This window comes from Homo sapiens, chromosome Y (genome assembly GCF_000001405.40).
Source record: "Homo sapiens chromosome Y, GRCh38.p14 Primary Assembly".
In the NCBI taxonomy this organism is placed as follows: Eukaryota; Metazoa; Chordata; class Mammalia; order Primates; family Hominidae; genus Homo; species Homo sapiens.
In genome coordinates, this window is record NC_000024.10 from 19,487,977 (window position 1) to 19,512,747 (window position 24,771).

Genomic DNA, 24,771 nt, shown 5'->3' on the forward strand with positions numbered 1-24,771 from the left:
CTGTTTCTCAAATGCCAAAATCCCAAGAAAGATTGAGAGACATGCAAGTAACATGGAAACATGGCCTAATGGCCAAATCCAAAAACAAAGTACATCACTGGAAACTGAACCTAAAGAAACTGAGATCACACAATTTCCACACAAAGGTTTAAAATAACTGTCTTAATTGTTCATTGAGAAAACAAAACAAAGACAGGCAACTAAATGAAATAAGAAAAATAGTACATGAACAAAAATGAGACTATCAAGAGAAATAGAAACGATTTTCAAAAAAAAATTTTTTTTACAGCTGAAAAACAAAGTACTGAAATTAAAAACTCACCAGAAGACTTTGATGAGGTATGGGAAAGAATCAGTAAACTTTAAGATAGTTTATTTGAAATTATTGAGTTACAAGAGAAAACAAAAGAATAAATATACATATCAATATACATATTATGAGAGTCACATAAAAGGAAGAGTAAGAGAGAGGCAGAAAACATTATTGGAAGAATACGACTAAAATCTTTCCAAATTCCGAGAAAAAAAGACATACAAATTTGAAAACAACAAATTCCACTAAGAATTTAAAAACACCCATACCAAGATATACTATGATAAATTGTTTTTCTATGGGGGTTTTTTGTTCTCCAGTTTGGAGGGCAGTGGTGCAATCTAAGCTCACCGCAACCTCTACCTTCAAAGTTCATGCAATTATCCCATCTTAGCTTCCTGAATAGCTGGGATTACAGGCAACTGCCAACACACCCAGCTAATTTTTTGTGTTTTCAGTAGATATGGGAATTTGCCATGTGGTCCAGGCTGGTCTTGAACTCCTGGGCTAAAGTGATCCATCTGCCTCGGCCTCCCAAAGTGCTGGGATTACAGGTGTGAGCCACAGTGCAGACCCAATCAAGCTGTTGATTTCTAAAGAAAAAGAGAAAATCTTGCCACATACCAGGAAGCTTCTATAAAATTACCAGTGAATTTCTAAGCAGAAACCTTGAAGGCCAGAAGGCAGTGAGAAATTTAGTGAAAAGAAAACCTGTCAATTAAGATTACATATATACACATACATATATATGGCAAACATTCCTTAAAAATGAAGTAGAAATGAAGACTTTCCCAGATAAACAAAACTTGAAGGCATTTATTCCCACCAGACCTCCGTCACAAGAAATGCTAAAGAAAGTATTTCAAAGAAAGAATGCTAAACAGCAATAGGAAGCCTTATAAGACATAAAATTATCTGATAAGGTAAATATATGGTCAAATATAGAGTCCTGTATTTTGAAAGATTGATGACAAATAATACTTTTAAAAGCATTAAAAGACAAAAGCCTTAAAAAATTATACATCCATACATCTGTGTACATGCCATATAAAGATTTAAGTGGGGTGCAGTGGCATGTGCCTGTAGTCCTAGCTACTTGAGAGGCTGAAACAGAAAGACTGCTGAGGTTAGGAGTTCAAATATAGCCAAGGCAATATACAAGATCCCACAATTTTTTTAATAAAAGATGTTATTTGCAATATCAGTAACAGAAAGTTGGAGGGAAACAAAGCTGTAAACATGCAGTTTTCATTTGTAGTTGAATTCAATATCAATTTAAAATAGATTATTGCAAGTGTAAGATGTTCTATGTAATCCCCATGTTAACTGTAAAGAAATCTCTACAAAATACAGGCAAAAGGCCAGGCGCAGCGTCTCACACCTGTAGTCCCAGCACTTTAGGAGGCTGAGGCGGGCAAATAACCTGAGGTCGGGAGTTCAAGACTAGCCTGGCAAATATGGTGAAACCTTGTCTCTACTAAAAATACCACACACAAAAAAAAAATTGCTGGGCATTGTGGTGGATGCCTGTAATCCCAGCTGCTCAGAAGGCTGAGACAGGAGAATCTCTTGAACCTGGGAGGCAGAGGTTGCAATGAGCCAAGATTGTGCCATTGCACTCCAGACTGGTCAACAGGAGCGAAGCTGTGTTTCAAAATATATATATATATATATATATGCAAAAGGAATGAGAAGAGAATGTCACTAGCAAAAAAATCAAAACACAAAGGAAGACACTAAGAGTGAAGACAAGGGAACAAAAAGCTCAACACACATAAAAACAATAAACAAAATGGCAGCAATATGTAGGTCCTTCTCTACCAGTAACTACTTTAGATAAATGAATTAAGTTTCTTAATTTAAAAAAAGACAAATGGACTAAATGCATAAAACACGGGATCCACAAAGAGACTGATTTAGAGTCTTTAGGACATGATGCTAAAAGTGAATGAGTGGAAAAAGATACTACATGCAAATGGTAACCAAAAGAGAGCAGGGGTGGTTACATTAATATAATGAGTATATTGCAAACTTATGGAATGCAGCAAAAGTTGTGCTAACAGGAAAGTTAATAGCTGTAAACACTTACAATAAAAAAGAAGGCATCTCAAATCAACAACTTAATTTTACAGCGCAAGTGCAAGAGGAATACCAAAGTCAACCTAACACTAGTAGAGAGAAGAATAAATGAAAATTAGAGCAGAAATAAAGGAAACAGAAAATAGAAAAACAATACAAAAAAAAATAAACCAAACTAACAGGTGGCGATTGTTTTGAACACATCAAGAAAACTGACAAAACTTTAGGTAGATATTTTTAAAAAGGGAATAGATTCAAGTAACTAATGTCAGATTCAAATAACTAATAGATTCAAATAACTAATATCAGATGAAAAGGGGACATTACAACTGATGCCATAGATCAGCAACCCCTACCGTTTTTGCATCAGACAATAGGTTTAGTGGAAAACAATTTTTCCACAGACAGAGGAGGGTGATGGTATGATTTCTGGATGAAACTGTTACATCTTAGATCATCATGCACTACATTATCAGAAGGAGCACACAGTCTAGATCCCTTGCATGCACTGTTCACAAGCAAGTTTGCACTCTTATGAGAATCTAATGCCACTGCTGATCTGACAAGAGGTGGAGCTTAGACAGTAATGCTGGCTCACCAACCTCTCACCTCCTCCTGTGTGGCCTAGTTCCTAACAGCCTACGGATTGGAATGGCTCCATTGCCAAGGGATTGAGGACCCCTGCCATAGAGGTAAAAAGGAGTGTAAGAGAAAACTGTGAAAATTGTACACCAAAAAACTAGATAATCTAGAAAATATAAGTAAATTACTATAAACATACAACCTAATAAAAATAAAATATAAAGAATGATAAAATCTGAAGAATCTTACAGTAAAAAGACTGAATCAGAAATCAAAAACCTTCAAAAAAGAAAAGCTCAGGATCAGAAACCTTCACTGTAGAATTCTACTTAACAAAGAATTAACACCTAAAACTCTTGCAAAAAAAAGTAAAGAGAAGAAAGAGTTCCACATTCATTGTTTGAAGATTTATACATTCATTCATTCCATACTGCCCAGATAGTAACACTAAAGAAAAGACTTAAGAAGAAAACTATAGGCCAGTATAACATTTAAGTGAAAATCCTCAACAAAACACTAGCAACAATTCAACAGAACATTGAAAGCATTATACACCATGACCAAATTATGTAGGGTTTACACCTACATAAATACAAGGACATGCAAGAACATGAATAAATGCAAGGAATGCAAGGATAGTTCAACACCTGAAAATCAATCAATAAAATGCATTCTCACTAAGAGAATGAAGAGGGAACATAAACTATCAACTCCATTTATACAAAAAAGGCATTTGCAAAAATTAACTCCATTTTGTGATATAAAAAAATGCTCAGCAGACTTGAAATATAAGAAAACTACCTTAACAAATGTCACATATGAAAAATCTAGAGCTATCGTCATACTCAACAGCAAATGATGAAAAGCTTTTCCTCTAAGACCAACTACAAGATGAGGATACTTGCTCTAGACTCTTTTAGTCAACATGATACTACAAGTCTTAGCCAGAGCAAATAAGCAGAAATAGTAATAAAATAGAAAGCATCCAAACTGGAAAAGAAGGAGTAAAAATATCTGTCTCTTCAGATCATATGATTCTATATATAGAAAACCTGAAAGATTCCACTGGTGGAAAACAAACAAATAAAAAAACCTGTTAAAACTAATAAATTAATTCAGCAAAGTTACAGAACGCAGAGCAATCAAGTTGTGTTTTGTAAGCTTACAATAAAACATACAAAAACAGCTGACAAAAATTCCATTCATAAGAAAATTTTACAAATAGTAACTTGGCATATTGAAACAAGAAATCATTGCTGAAAAAAATTTAATATACAAATAAAGAGAAAGACATCCTGTGTTCATAAATTGGAAGACCTAGTATTGTTAAAATGTCAATACTATCCATATTGACATACAGTACAACACTATCTTTCAGAATGTTAACGGGTTTTTTTGCAGAAGCACAAAAACATATCCTAAAATAAATATGGAATCTTGGAAAACACTGAGTGGTAAAAACAAGCTTGAAAAAGAACCAAATTGGAGATCTCAAACTCCATGATACCAAAGCATATGACAAAGTTACAGAAACCAAAAAGTGTGGTGATGAACCAAAGAGAGAGAACAGAAACAAACCCTCAACTGTATGGTCAAAAGAATAAGAGTGACAAGACCACCCAGCATGGAAAGAAGAGGCCATTCAGCAAGTGGTGTTTAATAAACCTAGATACCCACATGCAAAAGAATAAACTTGACCCTTATACCATACACAAAAAGTAAATCAAGATTGATTAAAGACCTCATGTAAGTACTAAAGTCATGAAAGAAAGAAAAAAATCATAAACAGAAAGGTTCATGACACTTAATTTGGCAGTGATTTCCTGGGTATGACCACAAAATCAAAAACAGAAAAACGGGATTGCATCAAACTAAAACGCCTCTGCACAGTAAACAGTCAGCAGGTTAAAGGGATCCTAGTTTTTTGGTGTACAATTTTCACTGTTTTCTCTTACATTCCTTTTTACCTCTATGGCAAGGGTCCCCAATCCCTTGGCAATGGACCCTTTTACAAACCAAAAGGCTTTTAATTTGAATTAATACCCAATATATAAGGATTTCCAATCAATAGCAAAAAAATTGAAAATGGGACTTTTAAAATGGAAAATAACTTAAATAACATTTCTCAAAAGAAGATATACAAGTGACCAATGGGTATAGGAACAATGTTCAACATCATTAATCATCAGGAAAGGCAACATAATACCACCATGAGATACCATCTCACACCTGCTGCAATGGCTGTTACCAAAAAGACAAGAGATAAAATATATTGGCAAAGATGTAGAGAAAAGGAAATCCTTTTACACCACCAGTGAGAATACAAATTAGTACAGCTAGTATAGAAAACAGTATAAAGTTTCATCAAAACTTAAATATAGAACTGCCATATGATCCAGTAAATCTGCTTCACAGTATGTCTCCAAAGAAATTGAAATCAGTAGGTTGAAGAGACATCTCTTCTCTCATGTTCACTGCAGCATTATTCATAATAACCAAGACATAGAATCAAACAAAGTGTCCATCAATGGATGACCAGTAAAGAAAATGTGGACTATATATACAACGAAATGTTATTGTGAAAATTACACACATAAATATTATTTTGAAAATTTATATTGCCTTGATGTGCCTTGGTTTTACTGTGGCAAAATATATATAGTATAAAAGTTACCATTTTTAAGTGTAAGTTCTGTACAAAAAAATGAAATCCTATCATGTGCTACAACATCAAACTTTGAGGATATTTTGCTAAGGGAAACAAGCTAGTCATGAATACTGCATGATTCCACATATATGAGATATCTAAAGCAGCAACACTCAGACACAAAAAGGAATTGTTTGTCAGGCACTTCAGGAAGAAATGTGTGGGGGTGTTCAGTAAGTACAGTGTGTCTGATTTGGACGATGAATTTTGGAGATTGATTGCACAACATGAATGTAAGTAATTCTACTGAACTGTACACTTAAAGTGGTTAAGATAGGAAATATATGGGGTTTTCACCACAGCTTAAAACCCCCCAAAAAATTGTTAAAAGGACACTGGCAGGAAAATTAAAAAGCAATTGACAGAATGGGAGAAAATATTAGCAAATTATATATCTGATGAAGGATTAAAATTCTGAACACATAAAGTATAATAACAGCTCAACACCACCACCAAAACAACCCAGCTAAAAAAATGGGTAAAGGATATAAACAATAAACAGTCATCCAACAAGGGTACAGAAACGATCAATAAGCACATAAAAAGGTGCTCAGCATCGCGAATCTTTGGAAAAATGTAAATCAAAACCACAATGAGATACCATTAAGCTGGCTATTAGGGTTTACCCCATCAGGATGGCTACTACCAAAAACAAAACAATAAAATGAAACAAAATAACAAGTATGGGGAGGATGTGGAAAAACTGGGGCCCTTTTAAATTGCTGGTAGCAAGGTAAAATCATGCAGTCAGTTTGCAAAACCATACTGTGCTTCTTCCAAAAATTCAACATATAATTACAATTCTGGTCCAGCAATTCCACTTTTTGGTATAATACAGAAGAATTGAAAGCAGAAACTTAAACAGTGTTTTTAAGTGAAAAAAAGTCCACTGATGGATAAATGGATAAACAAAATGTTGTATGTGTGTATATGCATATATATGTATATGTATATACACACACATATATGGCATGAATGAACCTTTAAGATATTATGCAAGTGAATGAAACCATTTGCAAAACAACAAATACTGTATTTAACTTACATAGGTTACCTAGAATAGTGAAATTTGTAGACACAAATTAGAATGGTGGTTGACATACATGAGTGGGGAAAGAGCATTTAATGGATGTAAAGTTTCACTTAGGAAAAATAAAGAAATTCTGAGGATGCAGAGCAGTGATGATTGCACAACAATTTAGATGTGCCTAATGCCACAGAATGTATACTTAAAATGGTAAATATTATATTATATTGTATATATAACAATAATAAATCTAAAGCACATAAAAGAAATAAAATAAAATAAAATAAAATAAAATAAAATAAAATAAAATAAAATAAAAAAACAGAAAATACTCGACTATTGGTAAGAACGTTGCAGCCCCAATGGAAAAGAGCCAGAAAGTTACTCAAAGAAATAAAGAAATAGGAAGTTGGACTGAGGACACGATTAACACCAGGGTGTTTTCCGCTGTCTCTGTCTTCTCTGTATAGACTGAATGTTGAGATTTATTAAAGTCCATAAATTACACTTCTCAGGTAGCACAGACAAAATGGAAGGCATCTCAGAAACCACCCCATATAACACAAATCAATGTCTCTCGGTTCTTCATGCAAGCACCAAAGAGTCCATTCCTAGAAAAGGAGAGGCTAAGAACAAAAATCATTTTCATGTAAATCATTTTGCATAAAATTAATCTGTATCAGGTAGGAGACTCCAATAATGCCCTCAAGGTTGCCAGCAGGTTCGTGTAAGAAGCACTGCAGAGGGAAATACTACCCACTGTTGCTATCTGCTGCCATCACCCTCCTGCCTGTCTACACACACACATGCTCACAAGTTCAGCAGTTACAATAAAATGAGTCTTAGCGAAGGAAAGAAGAGGAGAGAACTGGAAATCTAGAGTAGAAAATACAGTGGCCAAGTACTTGACTCTTGTCAGCAGCAATATAGAGAGAAGGAGAAATGTCCCTTCCTCTTGGTAGACCAAAGTTCCGTAACACTTACCACACACCAATTGGCCTTGGCAATCCAACTTATTTTTCCCATGCCTGTACCTTCTGTCCCTACTGGAATCTTGATGAAAAGAAACTACATGGTCAATGGTGCAATTCCACATGCCACAGGGAGACTCCAGTATACCCAAAGCCTCATTGATAATACTGCTGAGCTTACTAGGAAATGGACACTGAAGATACCATCCCTCCACCTTAACCCACCCCCATCTCAGCCTCCACAGTCATTCAGGAAACCTTCCAAACTGACTGAAGTTTTGCTTCCCATGGTTGGCCCTTCCTCCCCTACAAAGATACAAGTGAGGTGTAAGCAACCACTGGGGATAAAGCAAAGGAGGGCAGTGCAGACCCTGGGAAGTACTGGAGAAAAGGAACTAGCCTGCAAATCAGCAAGGAGCGTATAGGGAAAACCCAGGCTTCCCCACAGAACCCCTCATGCAAAAGTGTCTCGGACCAGGTGCCTCTCCCAGATCAACTATTGCTGTGAGGGACTCCCTTTTCCATTAATCTCTCAAGCTACTACATCTGCTTTTGTGTTCCTCTCATTTCTTTCACATTGTGCCACATGCTGAACCATCAGGGAATCATTTGCCTATGTGACAGCAGAAGCATTTGAATGCTGGGGTCCCTCAATAGAAGAGGTCCCAAAAAAAGAAATCTGTATCTTTCATTACAGTATCTTAGCATTACTTCTTCTCCCCCAAGCACATTCTTGATCTGGTCCCTACAGAGCTGGTTCCCACTCAAAGTGATGGGTGAGAGGGGTTTGCATAGGGAGGGATAGATCTAGAATAGGCAGATCTACAATAACTATTTATTTAAACCCTGAGTGCCTGTCAAAGCACTTGCCTCCACTAGAGTATCACAGGAAAAAAATGCACTCGAGCTAGGTATTTTAACTCATGCCTATAATCCCAACACCGTAGGAGGCCAAGACAGGAGGATCACTCTAGCCCAGGAGTTTGAGACCAGCCTGAGCAACAAAGCAAGACCTATATCTACAAAAAATTAAAATAAAACACTTAGCCTCGTGTGGTGGTATGCACCTGTAGTCCCAGCTCTTCTAGGGGCTGAGGTGGGAGGATCATTTGTCCAAGTGTTAGAGGCTGTAGTGAGCTATGAGCATACTAATGGACTCCAGCGTGGGTGACAATAATAACAATAATAATAATAAGGTACTTATTATTGTTGGATAGAGTAAGCTCCTCTATCCAACAAAATGGAACAAATTATACCATAAAGCTAATAGCAGCATTTATGAGTATACAAAGGGAATATAAAGAAACTTCACTCAGGAGTTCTGAGATTCCTTGCTCTTAATCCAAAGTCTGAGAGTCCACAGAAAGCAGGATAAGGGCCAGAGCACAAAGTAGGAATCCATTTTCTTTGCAAGGAACAATGGGAACCCCATGGGTGCTGCTTAATGTTAGAAGTCTAAAAACACAAAAGAAAGACTTAGAAAAACTTCAGTGTACCAACCACCCACAATTACTTTTCTGGTTGGTCAGAGTTCAGTCACTCCTCCTTGCTCCATAGAACTACACACACTGCAACACATGGAATTGCCTCCAAAGAGCATCAAGCAGATGTAAGGATGCTGGTGCAAATGAGGCCTACCTTGGAGCACAATAGCAAGTGACTAATACATTGCATACCATTAAAAATATTTTTTTCTATAATTTGCATTTAGTTCAGAAAAATGCCAACCAAAGTCCCTCCTCAAAAGCACAAATCAAATCTTGATAGTACAAGCCCAGCTGTAAACAGGAAAAGGCCTCTAACGTTTTCACACTACAGGCTTGTTTATCTTTAAGCCTTTCCTCCAGATGAAACTGAAGCAGGTGAAATGGAAGCAACATTTCTCCAGAAAATGGCACAAGTCATAAAAAGAGACCAATTTATAGAACTGGCAATGAGTTCAGGTATCACTCCAGAAGCATTTCTGTGCTCCCCATTAGGTATCCTAAATATATGAAAAAGCCCATGTTAAAACTTAGGAAGACGGGAGGGAGGGGGAATGGAAGTGGACACAAAGAAATGCAAGCATCCTGCAGGTATTCACCAGAGATTCAAAGTCATGTAGAAGGGCAGGATACAGATTAAGTCAGCCCTGAATGATTCACTGAACCCCAGGTTCTATGGTTATAAAGCTATCAACTCCAGAGTTCCTAAGGAGTAAATTTTTACACTAAGCTTGCCCCAACCCAGCCAAAAGGCAGACCTACATTCCTGATCATCTTGATTGCCTGCTTTGGTGACTTGGGCATTTTAAGGATTCATTGAATAGTCACCACTGCCAATTGATCTCCTTCCCAACATGATGCCTCCATGAAGTGCCTGGAGAGGTGCCAGGAACTTGGAAATGGCCTATGACTATGAACATCTAGTTTAATAAGTCACAGAGTGGATGGTACAGTAGGCAGACCTGAAGACTACACTTTTGCATCCTACAATTGAAGGCAAAAATATTTCTGAAAAGGGGAAGGCTTATAAGGGAAATAGATTGTCAAAAGCCAGCTGGCATTCTTTCTTCCCAAATATACCCTGTTTGAGTCCTGGAACCTACAATGTTGCATTTCCAACCTGGTAAACAGTGGCAAGTGTAGGGAACACAGCACACTCCTGTTGCTAACTTGTCATCTGAAATAACAAGGCCATTTCAGAAGGAAACAGTGACTTTCAGAGTATTCTGCAATTTCCAGGATTATTATTACATAACTGATGTATTTTTAAATAATTATTTAATTTAATTAATAATTCTTACAGCAAGCTTACTACTTACAACTGAAAGTTATTTTCTCAAATCTTAAAAATTCTGTCACAAGCAGCTGAGAAACCAGGTGTACACATCCTAGCCAAACTCCTCCAGACACAAACACGCATGACCCTGTAAGCCTTCTCCCATCACCTCCGCCTAACAAGTTCCCTAAACCACAACATACAAACCATCCTGCACCTCATCCCAATCCTGGGATGTCAGAAAGATTTGTTTAGTTAAGTAAGGAAGTTCGGTTGAGCTTTCTCAGTAGAAGACACTCTGGCCAGAAACTAGCAGCCACCTCTGCACTTCCTCTGTGGGTTTACATCCTGTGGGCTTTATAAGTGCTGAGGAAAGACGACTAGAGACACTGTGCTAATCCTTGCCAATAGCGTTTACACTATTTACAAATTTGTGATTGATGTAAATGGCCTTGACATTCCCCTTACCAAAGTCAAACCAGACTAGAGATACAGCTACAGATCAAACCTTAATGGCAGTTCAAAACAAGTCCCATACGGGTCAGCTTCACCAGAGACATCATAAGCAAAAGAATGCTGCCATTTCTTATAGATTTCTGTGCAGTTTATCAGCCCTCTCCCAGAATTTTCTCCTTGGGTTAAAAAGAAAGCATGATTCCTATAGCCCATTTCCTCAACTAGAAATCAAGTTTGTTCAAACCTCTAGGACTGATTGCTACACTCGGCAAAAGCAGGAGCTGATCTACCCTGGACACGTTGAGGTTTTGGCAGTAAGTCTGTACATGTCACAAAGTCCTGATCTGTCCTATAGCCCACACCATAGTGGTCTCTTTGTTTTGTAAATTGCCCACCTCAATGTCTCCTTTATGATATTTGATTAACTTCATTCCCATAGCATCATTATTAGAGCAAATTACAAGACTAGTGAGTCCTTAAATATGCTTTAACTAAATACTTACATGAGGCTCATTATATGGTTTACCGAAGGCATTACCTTGTATCATAAACTTTCACTAGAAATACAACTGCCCAAGAAACAAATCTTTGGTCTCTGTCTAATGAATATCTTTTACATATAATTGACATTGTTCTTAACAATTAAATTTACCAGGCCAGTTTACCTCCCATCTTAGCACCTTGTTTTTGTTGCTGTTGTTGTTTTGTTTTTTGTTGTTGTTTTGTTTTTTTGTTTTGTTTTGTTTTGTTTTTTGTTTCTTTCTTTTTGAGACGGAGTTCCACTGTTGTCACCCAGGATGGAGTGCAATGGCACAATCTCAGCTCACTGCAACCTCTGCCTCCCAGATTCAAGCAATTCTCCTGTCTCAGCCTCCCCAGTAGCTGAGATTACAGTTGTGTGCCACCACGCCCAACCAAGTTTTGTATTTTTAGTACAGATGGGGTTTCACCATTTTGGCCAGGCTGGTCTCAAACTCTTGACCTCAAGTGATCCACCCATCTTGGCCTCCCAAAGAGCTGGGATTACAGGTATGAGTCACTGCACCCACTTTGTTTTATAAACAGTATTTACCCAACTACAATTATTTTCAAAGTATACAGCCTGGGCCTTGCCTATATCAAAATATACTTCAGCTTTAGCTGAGTGCCCTCAGAGAAGGGGTGAAGGTGGGGAGTACAAGCACAGGAAATTATTTTCAAGTCTTTTTGTTTTCTTCAACAACAGAGGCAGTGGTGGAGCTGGGCAAGTCAAAATGTATGTTCCAGCTTTGGGTCTGATTAAAACTTGGTTGTCTAGAAACCTTGTTAAATGCCTTGTTAAATGCTTTGAAACTCCCATTTAGCAGTTCTGTACAAATGCAAACTTGAATAGCTCTAGGCCTACTTCTTCTAAAAAAAAAAAAAATGAAATGTAGTGTACAAATAATGTAAATCCTAGACAAGTGTCATGTTATCACATGACAAGTGCCAAGGCATTTCCTGTCAAAAACCCATGAATCTATATCCTCTAACCTTTGTAATTTTTTCTTCTATTGACAGCATTTTATACAGCATTTAATAAGCACACCCTGACTGTGTTTCACTGTGACTCTGAGCAAAATAAATGGTAGACTGCATTCTGGCCTGGGCGACAGAGCGAGACTCCATCTCAAAATAAACAAATAAATAAATAAACAAACAAACAAACAAATAAATAAATAAAGGGTAGAAAACCAGTAAGGGTGGGAAAAACAGTCCACAGAAGAGTGTCATGCTGGAGAAATGTCTTCAAGTGGGTAAGGAAAAATAGCATTTAGGAGTACTTCTACTGACCAAAAAGAAAACAAAAGTATTTTTTTGGAGGAAAGAAGCCACTCTCACTTGTCTGGTGGCTCAAAGCTGCGCAGATGTAACGTGTCTGGTTACAGCTTCCATTCCCAAGATAAACCAGTTTTTTTCATGATACTCTGCCCTCAGTTATCAGGTAATTTTCAAAAGATACAGATCTGATTTTCTACTCATGCTAGAAACTTTTTAAAAAATACAAAACATAAAACAGTGATCCCTGGCCGACTTTGCAGAACACCACACTGAGCCCTCATAACATCCAGATTTAATCCTTATCAAATGTATCCCGCACTTCCGCTTCTCCAGCAGGCCACTTCTGTCTCACCTGTTCCAACCAGGTCTCCTTCCTCTAGCAGCTCCTGTTCCCTTCCCCAAAACAATGATGAAAAACTTGCCAGCCAGGCATGGTGGCTCATGCCTGTAATCCCAGCACTTCGGGAGGCTGAGGCAGGCAGATCACCTATGGTCGGAAGTTTGAGACCAGCCTGGCCAACATGATAAAACCCTGTCTCTACTAAAACTACAAAAATTAGCTGGCCTTGGTGGTGGGCGCCTATAATCCAAGCTAGTTGGGAGGCTGAGGCAAGAGAATCGCTTGAACCTGGGAGGCAGAGGTTACAGTGAGCCAAGATCATGCCACTGCACTCCAGCCTGGGTGACAAAGCAAGACTCTCGTCTAAAAAAAAAAAAAAAGAAAAAAAAAACACTTGCCAAAGAGCATAGTGCTAAGGGTTAAGAGCTTTAGAACCAATGTCTAAACCATAAAATGATCCTATTTAGTGGGGAAAAAAAAGATTCAGTCCTTTCAATATGTACTCATTTAAATTACAAAGAACTGACATAAAGGGAAAGAGGCAAACCCAGAGAAATAACCTCAGTGGAGAGTATTAACTGGTCAGTCCCAGGACACTGGCATATCACTGTCAGAGGGAATAGTAGCAGCAAGAAATGAAGGCGCAATCCACAGAATATGACTGGTTAGCTAAGGCACGATTTATCCTTAGGACAATAATGTCCCTAGTGTTCTTTGGTCCTAAAGATGGATGACTGTTCAATCTTAACAAATGAAAAACTTACTGAGGCTGGAGGGCCCTAAATAACTTATCCGTAAGGACAAAACTCAAGCTCAAACGTAGAAGTGCACAGAGAAGGCAATTGCTGGTCTAATTTTTCCACTTGAAATCATTATTTTCTCACGCCGTATCCTTGAGGAAATTTGGAAGACTTCCCTAATACTCCTCCCTAAATAACAGTAAAAAGATACCATTTCAGTCCTAGAAACTAAATTCACAAGAAGCCTTGAACCCAGTTTCTCTTACCTGCAGTAATCTTTTAGCACGTTTTAAAATTTCATACTTTTTTCCTATATCCCACTCTCTACTATGAAATTGACCTCCCTGGTGTGAGGTCATTAGTTCCCAGAAGACCCCACTTTCCCTTCCTCCAGGAGCCCAGAATAGGAAGAGAGAGAAAAAAAAAAGGTAGGTTGGCTACTCTCAGGTCTCCAACTCATTGTTAGAAACTAGGCTTTGACGCTCTAGTTTTGCCACGTAGTGAACAAATCTATCTGCCTTGGGCTAATGTCTTCAAAAAGTACTTTTACACTAGTCACAGGGCTGAAGCAAAACTACCAGAGAGGGGGAAGGGAAGCAGGTGAATGAAGAGACTAATGGGAGTGGCTTGCAAGCCAGGTACTGTGCCCTACAACTCTCGCGCTGCCACAAAAAGCCAATTAACGAAGCAAACTGTTTTATCTTTTCCTCTCCCCAGAAGTTCGCCCTAGAAATCAAAAACCACTGAAGCTTAGGAGTGGCAAACATCGGTTCCCGTTCCGATGTTTGTTCCCACACTATTCCCAGTTTCTAGTTCTCATGGACGCTCCAATGCCCAGGGTTACCGCCAGCTCGGCTCCGTGAGGCCGCGCAGGGGGCACCAGATCCTCGGCCACCTCTATTGGTTTTCCAGCCTTGGACCGCTTGCTTCTCCTAACCCCAAAACTCCAGATGTGCGAAATGGCTCCGCTGTGCGACCCAGCAGTTAGCGGCAGGAGGGACAGAGGGATGATGTCAACTCGTTTTGCCAGCCGAGCACGCCGTCGTGGCCCGGCAGCCCTGGTCTGCGGGCCAGCCCTCCGCAAGTGACTTTTAAAGACTTTCTAGCCTCGATAATCTGACATAGTTCCGACCTCACCCCGCACCGAGATCTGGGTGGGGTGGGCCTTCCCTCTCAACCCCTCTCATAGCATCCCAACACCTCAGGAGAGGGGACGTTCCGCCCAGGCACTGCGAGACAGAACTCAAGTTGCTGACTTCCCCTAACACACCCAGTCTTACTTGGTCCTCGTAGAGTAGGAGGATTCCCAAAGCGATCTTCTACCAACCGAGCCCGGGAGCTCGGTGTCAGAATTGCCTACAAATCCGACCGTCCAGTCCTACCCGCGGCGCGCATGCAAAGTGCACCGCAAGTTCGCGCTCTCTCGGAAGTGTCTATAGCTTCCGGAAGGGGGAAGGAGAGGGAGCAAGGCAGAAGGAGGCTGCCTAAAAAAAATAAAAAGTAAAAAGTAAAAAACTCTTGCGATAAAAGTCTATTGTATTCCTGTCATGATAGCTAGAGCTCTGAAGAACAGAAATTGGTGTTGGAGGAAGGTGCCAGAAATGGTACGGAGCGACCCCTACTGGCCCTATAAATCTACCCCTGTGGCAGTTACTATTAGCATTAAAAGACCCTCCTTTCTTCAAAGCAATAGTGCCTTTTCATAACCTTCCCCCACCTAAAATGGTACTCCTCCCCACATTCTGAAATCACAAGGACAAACAACACCTCGAAGTTGTGACCCCGGGGCCGGACGCGGTGGATCACACCTGTAATCCCAACACTTTGGGAAGCCGAGGCTCGTGGATTACGAGGTCAAGAGATCCAGACCATCCTGGCCAACACGGTGAAACCCCGTCTCTACTAAAAATAGAAAAATTGGTTGGGTGTGGTGGTGCGAGCCTGTAGCCCCAGCTACTCAGGATACAGGCAGGAAAATTGCTTGCACCCGGGAGGCGGAGGTTGTAGTATGCCAAGATGGCACCACTGCACTCCAGCCTGGCAACAGAGCGAGACTCTGTCTCAAAATAATAAATAAATAAATAAATAAATAAATAAATAAATAAATAAATAAATAAATAAAATAAAGTGGAGGCCTCTGAATCTCTTGGTGATCTCACATGCCCTGCTCCTGGCACCCCAATCTGGAGCCCTGATCTGAAACTCTTTACCTAGCAGTTCCTCTAGTTGCACATAAACAATGAAAATATAGTTTAGCTTCAGGTTTTCAACATTAGCAAAACTCTGTATCCATGCAAATCAATATGACAAGTACGACCTAAAAGCTCTATCTGCCCTGTGTCGATGTACATTAATCATTCCCCCCCATCATCTTTGAGATCACTAGTTATGTTTTCTGCTAGGTTAAAGATCTTCGGACAGACTTGCCGCCGAATCTAATCGCCAGGAGTGAGCAGGCGATGCTGGTTGGGGTGACAGGGTGCTAAAAAATAACCAAGGGAGAACAGCTCGATTATTAAAACCCACAACGACTCTCACTCGACAAAAATTCATACAATCCCTTGGCAGAATGTACTGGGGACAACTGCCAAAAGCAGTCTAGATAGCTGTAGACCAGGGCAATTTGTCCACCTCAGGGACTGACAAAAGAGGCCAGTCACTCTGACCAGAACGTCTTCTCATGGCTCAGCTACCTGTGCCTCAGCAAAGAACAGACTTTCCAGAGGGAATCGGGAATTCTGGCCAAAAACACTGAAGAAAAAAGTCAGTATGAGTGGTAGCCAAACTTGGCCTCCTGCCATTCTGACTAGATCCCTAGCAGGGCTGAGACATAACAGCAGGCACAAGAAGCCCTGATGCAGGAGGGTCCCCTCTTGCAGAGAAAAGAGCTCACCTGCCCCATGTGTGGTCCTCAACGCACTCATGCACACATGAGAATTGCACTGAGGCCTAATAAAGGACCTTTTGGGCAGGCACGGTGGCTTAAGCCTATAATCCCAGCACTTTGGGAGGCTGAAGTGGGGGGAATCACCTGAGGTGAGGAGTTCAAGACTAGCCTAGCCAACATGGCAAAACCCCCTCTCTACTAAAAATACAAGTATCAGCTGGGCATCATGGCAGGTGCCTGCAATCCCAGCTACTTCGGAGGCTGAGGCAGGAGAATCGCTTGAACACAGGTTGTGGAGGATGCAGTGAGCCAAGATTGGGCCACTGCACTCCAGCCTGGGCAACAGAGTGAGACTCCATTGCAAACAACAACAACAAAAGGGACTTCTGAGCTCCTTCAGGCCTGGGGCTGGTGGGAGGTGGGGAACAGGGGTGAAGAAGGGGCTATTGTATGAGATACCACACCTCAGGCGTAAACGCACAAAAGCCCTTGCCCCTCCCATGTTTTTCAAAACCTCCAGGATGGCATTCCCAGGGCTACCTGGACCTTCTGAGGAAAGTCCTGGTGATCCTGGGGTTCTGGTGGCATTGAGGCCCAGCCAGCAGCCAACATGGGCTCCACCCAACAGCAGTCTTGCCAGCTTAAATCCTGCTATGCTGGGGTAGTGAAAAATCCTTGAAGCAGGGCAGAATTTACATGCATGTCTGGGTTGGTGGGGGCTTATGCTAATCCACCCTACACAGGCCTTCCTGATGGTTCTCCAGAGGGGTTGGGGGGGAAGTATACAAAAATGAAAGCATTTTTTTTTTGGCTTTGTCTTTCCCAGGCCACCAGACCCTGCATCACTTGAGACAACAGAACCACAAAATATGCAACATCCACTACTCAGGTTCAGAAAGTGGAAAGATATTCCTCCCTTTTTCCATCATCATCCATCCATTCAAAGTCAATAACTCAAAATCTCTTAGAAATCTTGCTTCATGCTCAACACATACCCTCTTTTCTGCTCCATAATGAAAGAAACAATAACCAGAATAAATTTGAAGAATTGAGGGCCATCCACATTCAGGTACGTCACTTTGCCCTCTGTTTCCTGTTTCTGTTTCTGAAAAAGATGCACTATTTCACTGTGAACAAAAATGTTATGTGCATGAATGTGGTTGTGTAACCCATGCTTCCTTCACAGTGTTGTTCTCTCTCATCAGAAAAGCCTTCATTATGCATTGAAGAGGTTTTCCCATTCAGCTTGTGTCCTTAAGCATGGATAGACAGATATTCATGGAACCACCTTCACACCTTTAAATGGGCTTTGGTCCCTAGCAACATCTCACAAAATTTCTGCCCAGTATTAAATTAAACAAAATCCCATATTTTTTCTCAAATACAGTTACACTTTCTGTCTTTGTATTTGCCTATCAATGTTTACATTTCTAGTTCTTAATGGACAACTGAGCACCAAGTGTCTTAATTTGTCTTAGTGCATGTTAGCCTGACACACATCTTAAACTGAACATTCTTGATACATACAGCTCCCTAAATTGAAATTCAAATTGTCTTGTTCTACCTACTACCAATAACATGATAACATCCACAATCCAGAGCAACATGGTTTTGAAAAAAAAAAGGAAAACAATTTTGCGAATTAGTAACATTTATAGGGCACCAAATGTTTGATCTGTAATCCATCCATGAATGAGCAGCTCTGCAAAGAACTGCACTAATGTCTTCATGGTCATTAAGTTTTTAGACCAATCTAATATCGGCACCCCAAATCATCCACACATCAGTCTCCTGCTGCTGAATGAAGGCTGTTTCCCTCCACTTTTCTGATTCTATCTCCTCAAAAGTTCAAAAGATGTCTATTTAGGTCCCGTTTGCTCTCTCCAATGCCTAACCGTAGACATTGGCATGGCACTTTAGGCTCATGTTCTCAGTGTGCATCTGTCTTGCTCAGGACTCGTACCCATGTTACAAGGCTGAGCAGACCCTCCTGTACTTGGAATAGTTTCAGAAGGAATAGTACCATCTCCTGCTTGTACCTCTGGTAGAATTTGGCTGTGAATCCATCTGGTCCTGGACTTTTTTTGGTTGGTAAGCTATTAATTGTTGCCTCAATTTCAGAGCCTGTTATTGGTCTATTCAGAGATTCAACTTCTTCCTTGTTTAGTCTTGGGAGGGTGTATGTAGTATTTTCTGAAGGTAGTTTGTATTCCTGTGGGATCGGTGGTGATATCCCCTTTATCATTTTTTATTGCATCTATTTGATTTTTCTCTCTTTTCTTACTTATTAGTCTTGTTAGCAGTCTATCAATTTTGTTGATCTTTTCAAAAAACCAGCTCCTGGATTCATGGATTTTTTGAAGCATTTTTTGTGTCTCTATTTCCTTCAGTTCTGCTTTGATCTTAGTTATTTATTGCCTTCTGCTAGCTTTTGAATGTGTTTGCTCTTGCTTCTCTGGTTCTTTTAATTGTGATGTTAGGGTGTCAATTTTAGATCTTTCCTGCTTTCTCTTGAGGGCATTTAGTGCTATAAATTTGCCTCTACACACTGTTTTGAATGTGTCCCAGAGATTCTGGTATTTTGTGTCATTGTTCTCATTGGTTTCAAACAACATCTTTATTTCTGCCTTCATTTTGTTTTGTACTCAGTAGTCATTCAGGAGCAGGTTGTTCAGTTTCCATGTAGTTGAGTGGTTTTGAGTGAGTTTCTTAATCCTGAGTTCTAGTTTGTTTGCACTGTGGTCTGAGAGACAGTTTGTTATAATTTCTGTTCTTTTACATTTGCTGAAGAGTGCTTTACTTCCAACTATGTGGTCAATTTTGTAATAGGTGTGGTGTGGCGCTGAAAATAATGTATATTTTGTTGATTTGGGGTGGAGAGTTCTGTAGATGTCTATTAGGTCAGTTAGGTGCAGGGATGAGTTTAATTCCTGGATATCCTTGGTAACTTTCTGTCTCGTTGATCTCATTGTCTAATGCTGACAGTGGGGTGTAAAGTCTCCCATTATTATTGTGTGGGAGTCTAAGTCTCTTTCTAGGTCTCTAAGGACTTGCTTTATGAGTCTGGGTGCTCCTGTGTTGGGTGCTTATATATTTAGGATAGTTAGCTCTTCTTGTTGAATTGATCACTTTAGCATTATGTAATGGCCTTCTTTGTCTCCTTTGATCTTTGTTGGTTTAAAGTCTGTTTTATCAGAGACCAGGATTGCAACCCCTGCCTTTTTTTGTTTTCCATTTGCTTGGTAGATCTTCCTCCGTCCCTTTATTTTGAGCCTATTTGTGTCTCTGCACATGATATGGGTTTCCTGAATACAGCACACTGATGGGTCTTGACTCTTTATCCAATTTGCCGTCTGTGTCTTTTAATTGGATCATTTAGTCCATTTACATTTAAGGTTAATATTGTTATGTGTGAATTTGATCTGGCCATTATGATGTTAGCTGGTTATTTTGCTCATTAGTTGATGCAGTTTCTTCCTAGCATTGACGGTCTTTACAATTTGGCATGTTTTTGTAGTGGCTGGTACCGGTTGTTCCTTTCGATGTTTAGTGCTTCCTTCAGGAGCTCTTTTAGGGCAGGCCTAGTGGTGACAAAATCTCTCAGCATTTGCTTGTCTGTAAAGGATTTTATTTCTCCTTCACTTATGAAGCTTAGTTTGGCTGGATATGAAATTCTGGATTGAAAATTCTTTTGTTTGAGAATGTTGTTCCCCACTCTCTTCTGGCTTGTAGAGTTTCTGCCAAGCAATCAGCTGTTAGTCTGATGGGCTTCCCTTTGTGGGTAACCCGACCTTTCTTTCTGGCTGCCCTTAACAATTTTTCCTTCATTTCAACTTTGGTGAATCTGACAATTATGTGTCTTGCAGTTGCTCTTCTCGAGGAGTATCTTTGTGGTGTTCTCTGTATTTCCTGAATTTGACTATTGGCCTGCCTTGCTAGATTGGGGAAGTTCTCCTGGATAATATCCTGCAGAGTGTTTTCCAACTTGGTTCCATTCTCCCCATCACTTTCAGGTACACCAATCAGACGTAGATTTGGTCTTTTCATATAGTGCCATATTTCTTGGAGGCTTTGTTCATTTCTTTTTATTCTTTTTTCTCTAAACTTCTCTTCTTGCTTCATTTCATTCATTTCATCTTCCATCACTGATACCCTTTCTTCCAGTTGATCGAATCAGCTACTGAGGTTGTACATTCATCACATAGTTCTCATGCCATGGTTTTCAGCTCCATCAAGTCCTTTAAGGACTTCTCTGCATTGGTTATTCTAGTTAGCCATTTGTCTAATTTTTTTCAAGGTTTTTAGCTTCTTGGTCATGGGTTCTAACTTCCTCCTTTAGCTCAGAGTAGTTTGATCGTCTGAAGCCTCCTTCTCTCAACTTGTCCGAGTCATTCTCCATAGCTCAGAGTAGTTAGATCATCTGAAGCCTCCTTCTCTCAACTTGTCCGAGTCATTCTCCATCCAGCTTTGTTCCATTTCTGGTGACTAACTTCATTCCTTTGGACAAGGACAGGCGCTCTGATTTTTAGAGTTTCCAGTTTTTCTGCTCTGTTTTTTCCCCATCTTTGTTGTTTTATCTACCTTTGGTCTTTGATGATGGTGACGTACAGATGGGGGTTTGGTGTGAATATCCTTTCTGTTTGTTAGTTTTCCTTCTAACAGTCAGGACCCTCAGCTGCAAGTCTGTTGGAGTTTGCTGGAGGTCCATTCCAGACCCTGTTTGCCTGGGTATCAGCAGCAGAGGCTGCAGAACAGCGGATATTGGTGAACAGCAAATGTTGCTGCCTGATCATTCCTCTGGAAGTTTTGTCTCAGAGGAGTATCCGGCTGTGTGAGGTGTCAGTCTGCCCCTACTTGGGGGTGCCTCCCAGTTAGGCAACTGGGGGGTCAGAGACCCACTTTAGGAGGCAGTCTGTCTGTTCTCAGATCTCTAGCATCGTGCTGGGAGAACCACTACTCTCTTCCAAGCTGTCAGATGGACATTTAAGTCTGAAGAGACTTCTGCTGTCTTTTGTTTGGCTATGCCCTGCCCCCAGAGTTGGAGTCTGCAGAGGCATGCAGGCATCTTTGAATGGCAGTGGGCTCCACACAGTTCGAGCTTCCTGGCAGCTTTGTTTACCTACTCAAGCCTCAGCAATGGTGGGCACCCCTCCCCCAGCCTTGCTGCCACTTTATAGTTTGATCTCATACTACTGTTCTTGCAGTGAGTGAGGCTCTGTGGGCATAGGATCCTCCGAGTCATGCACGGGATATAATCTCCTGGTGTGCCTTTTGCTAAGACCATTGGAAAAGTGCAGTATTAGGGCAGGAGTGACCCGACTTTCCAGGTGTCATCTGTCACCCCTTTCTTTGGCTAGGAAAGGGAATTCCCTGACCTCTTGTGCTTCCTGGGTGAGGTGATGCCTCTCCCTGCTTCGTCTCACACTCGGTGCGCTGCACACACTGTCCTGCACCCACTGTCCAACACTCCCCAGTGAGATGAACACAGTACCTCAGTTGGAAATGCAAAAATCACCCATCTTCTGTGTCACTCACGCTGGGAGCTGTAGACTGGAGCTGTTCCTATTTGGTCATCTTGGCTCCACCCTGATTAACTTATTCCTGTGCAAAAAGCTGAAATATCTCTACAATGAAAACTGTAAAATATTGGTGCAAGGAATTGAAGAGGACACAAAAAAATGGAAAGATAGTCTATGCTTAGAATTCTCAAGAATCATTATTGTGAAATGTCCATACTATCCAAAGTAATCTACAGATTCAATGCAATCTCTGTTGAAATATCAATTCTATTCTTTGCAGAAATAGGAAAAACCATCTTAAAGTTTATGTGGAACTACAAAAGACTCAGAATCCTGAACAAACAGAACAAAAAAGGAAGAATTATATTTACGTGTCTTCAAATTATACTTCAGAGGTATAGTAATCAAAGCACGATGTAGTGGCACAAAACCACACACATAGACTGGTGGAACAGAACACAGATCCCAGGAACAAATCCACAGACCTATATGTAGTTAACTCATTTTTTTACAAAGGTGCCAAGAACATAAGTTGGTGAAAAGGACAGTCTCTTCAATAACTGGTGTTGCAAAAATTGGATATTCATATGCAGAAAAATAAAACTAGACCCTATCTACCACCATATGCAAAAATCAAATCAAAATGGCTCAACCACTTAATTTTAAGCCTTCAAACCATGAAACTACTACAAGAAAATATTGGGGAAACTCTCCAGGACAGTGAACTGGGCAAAAATTTCTTGAGTGCTACCCCACGAGCTCAGGCAACCAAAGCAAAATTAGACAAATAAGGTCACAGGAAGCTAAAAAGCTTTTGCACAATAAAGGAAAGCAATTAACAGAGTGAAGAAACAACCTGCAGAGTGGGAGAAAACTTTGCCAAATATCTGTCTGACATGGGATTAATCACCATAATATATAGGGAAGCTAAACAACTGTATTTTTAAAAATCTAATAATTCAATTTAAAAATTAGCCAAAAAAATCTGAATAGACATTTTTGAAAAGAAGACCTATAGGCTTATGAAAAGGTGATCAACATCATTGAACATTAGAGAAATGAAAATCAAAACTACAATGAGATATCATCTCACCCCCATTAAAATAACTTTTGTCCAAATAAGCAGTTACAAAAGGGAACTCTCAAACAATGTTGGTGGAAATGTAAAATAGGATGATCATTATAGAGGCCATTTTGGAGGTTTCTACAAAAAACTGAAAATAGATCCAGCAATCCTGCTGCTGGATATATACCCAACAAAAACCAAAACAGTATATGGAAGAGATATCTGCATTCCCATGTTTGTTGCAACACTGTTCACAATAGGGAATATTTGGAAGCAATCTAAGTGTCAATCAATAGAGGACTGCATAAAGAAAATATAAGTATACTCAATGGAGTATAATGCAGCCATGCAAAAGATTGACATCCTATTATTTGCAATAACAGAGTAAACTGTAGTCAAATATGATAATCCCAGAACAGAAAGACAAACTTAGCATGTTCTCACTTACTTGAGGGAGCTAAAAATAAAAACAATTAAGCCTACACAGATAGAGAGTAGAAGGATGGGTATGAGAACCTAGGAAGTGTAGTAGTGCATTGGAGGAGGAAGTGGAGATAGTTAATGGAACAAAAAAATAGTGAAGATCTATTATTTTATAGCATAATGGGATGACTGTAATTAATAATAATTTAATTATACATTTAAAAATAGCTATAAGTGTACAAATGGTTTGTTGTAACATAATGTATAAATGCTTGAGGCAATTGATACCTCATTTACCCAGGTATGATTATTACACTTTGTATGCCTGTATCAAAATAGCCTACATATTCTATAAACATATACCTCTACTATGCACCATGTAAAATTAAAAAATTAAAAATTGAAAAAAGAACTCTAATTGCCATATGAGAGTCATCATAGGTGCCCCTGTAGACAGCTCACCTAATCCTCCAGCCAACAGCTGCCATCAACTGGCCATGTGAGTGTGCCATTTTTGACATCCTTTGGATAACTACGACCCGAGGTGATATCTGACAGCAACCCATCCAAGTCTTTACTATGGTGAAAGAGAATTACTACCCTTGGCCCTTCTAACAATTCCTGACCCAGTGAATTGTGAGCAAAATAAGCTGTGTTTTAATATGTGATGTTTGGGGTAATATGTTAGTCAGCAAATAGTAAGTAAAACAGATCCCTGGTGTAAAGTAAGTAAAACAGTTGCCCCAGGGTGCAAAGGGGTTGATAATTTGCCCATGGTTTCATACCTAAGGGTTAGTGCTAAGACTTAAACTTCAATGCTAAATCCAAATTATTTTATCACAGTATCTTCTCAACATCTCTTGATAGTTTCTTTCTATTGAGAACCTTATTTTCAGACTCAGTTGATTTCCAAACCTCTCTGCACATCAGAGTTAACTGTATACAGGTTATGATAGAGATTGCCATTCCAATTCTATAAAGTCAGATTTTAAAGGCATGAGACCAGGAATCTGCATCCTAAAGTGGCACCCCAGGTGACACTGAGGCAGTCTGTGAAGCTATCAGTAGATCCTACTGCTCAGCCAGGATATTCTAGACTAA

The 24,771-nt window shown here is 39.7% G+C and overlaps 1 pseudogene across 2 annotated transcripts in view; it reads right to left on the reverse strand.

The window, feature by feature from the left end:
• BCORP1 (BCL6 corepressor pseudogene 1) overlaps nucleotides 1-15,177 on the reverse strand; it is a 47,723-nt pseudogene extending 32,546 nt beyond the window's left edge. For both annotated transcript variants that reach the window (NR_002923.2, NR_033732.1), the window contains exon 1: nucleotides 15,056-15,177. The product of NR_002923.2 is annotated as a BCL6 corepressor pseudogene 1, transcript variant 2 (transcript). The remainder of the gene's footprint in view (nucleotides 1-15,055) is intronic.
• Nucleotides 15,178-24,771: the final 9,594 nt, after the last annotated feature.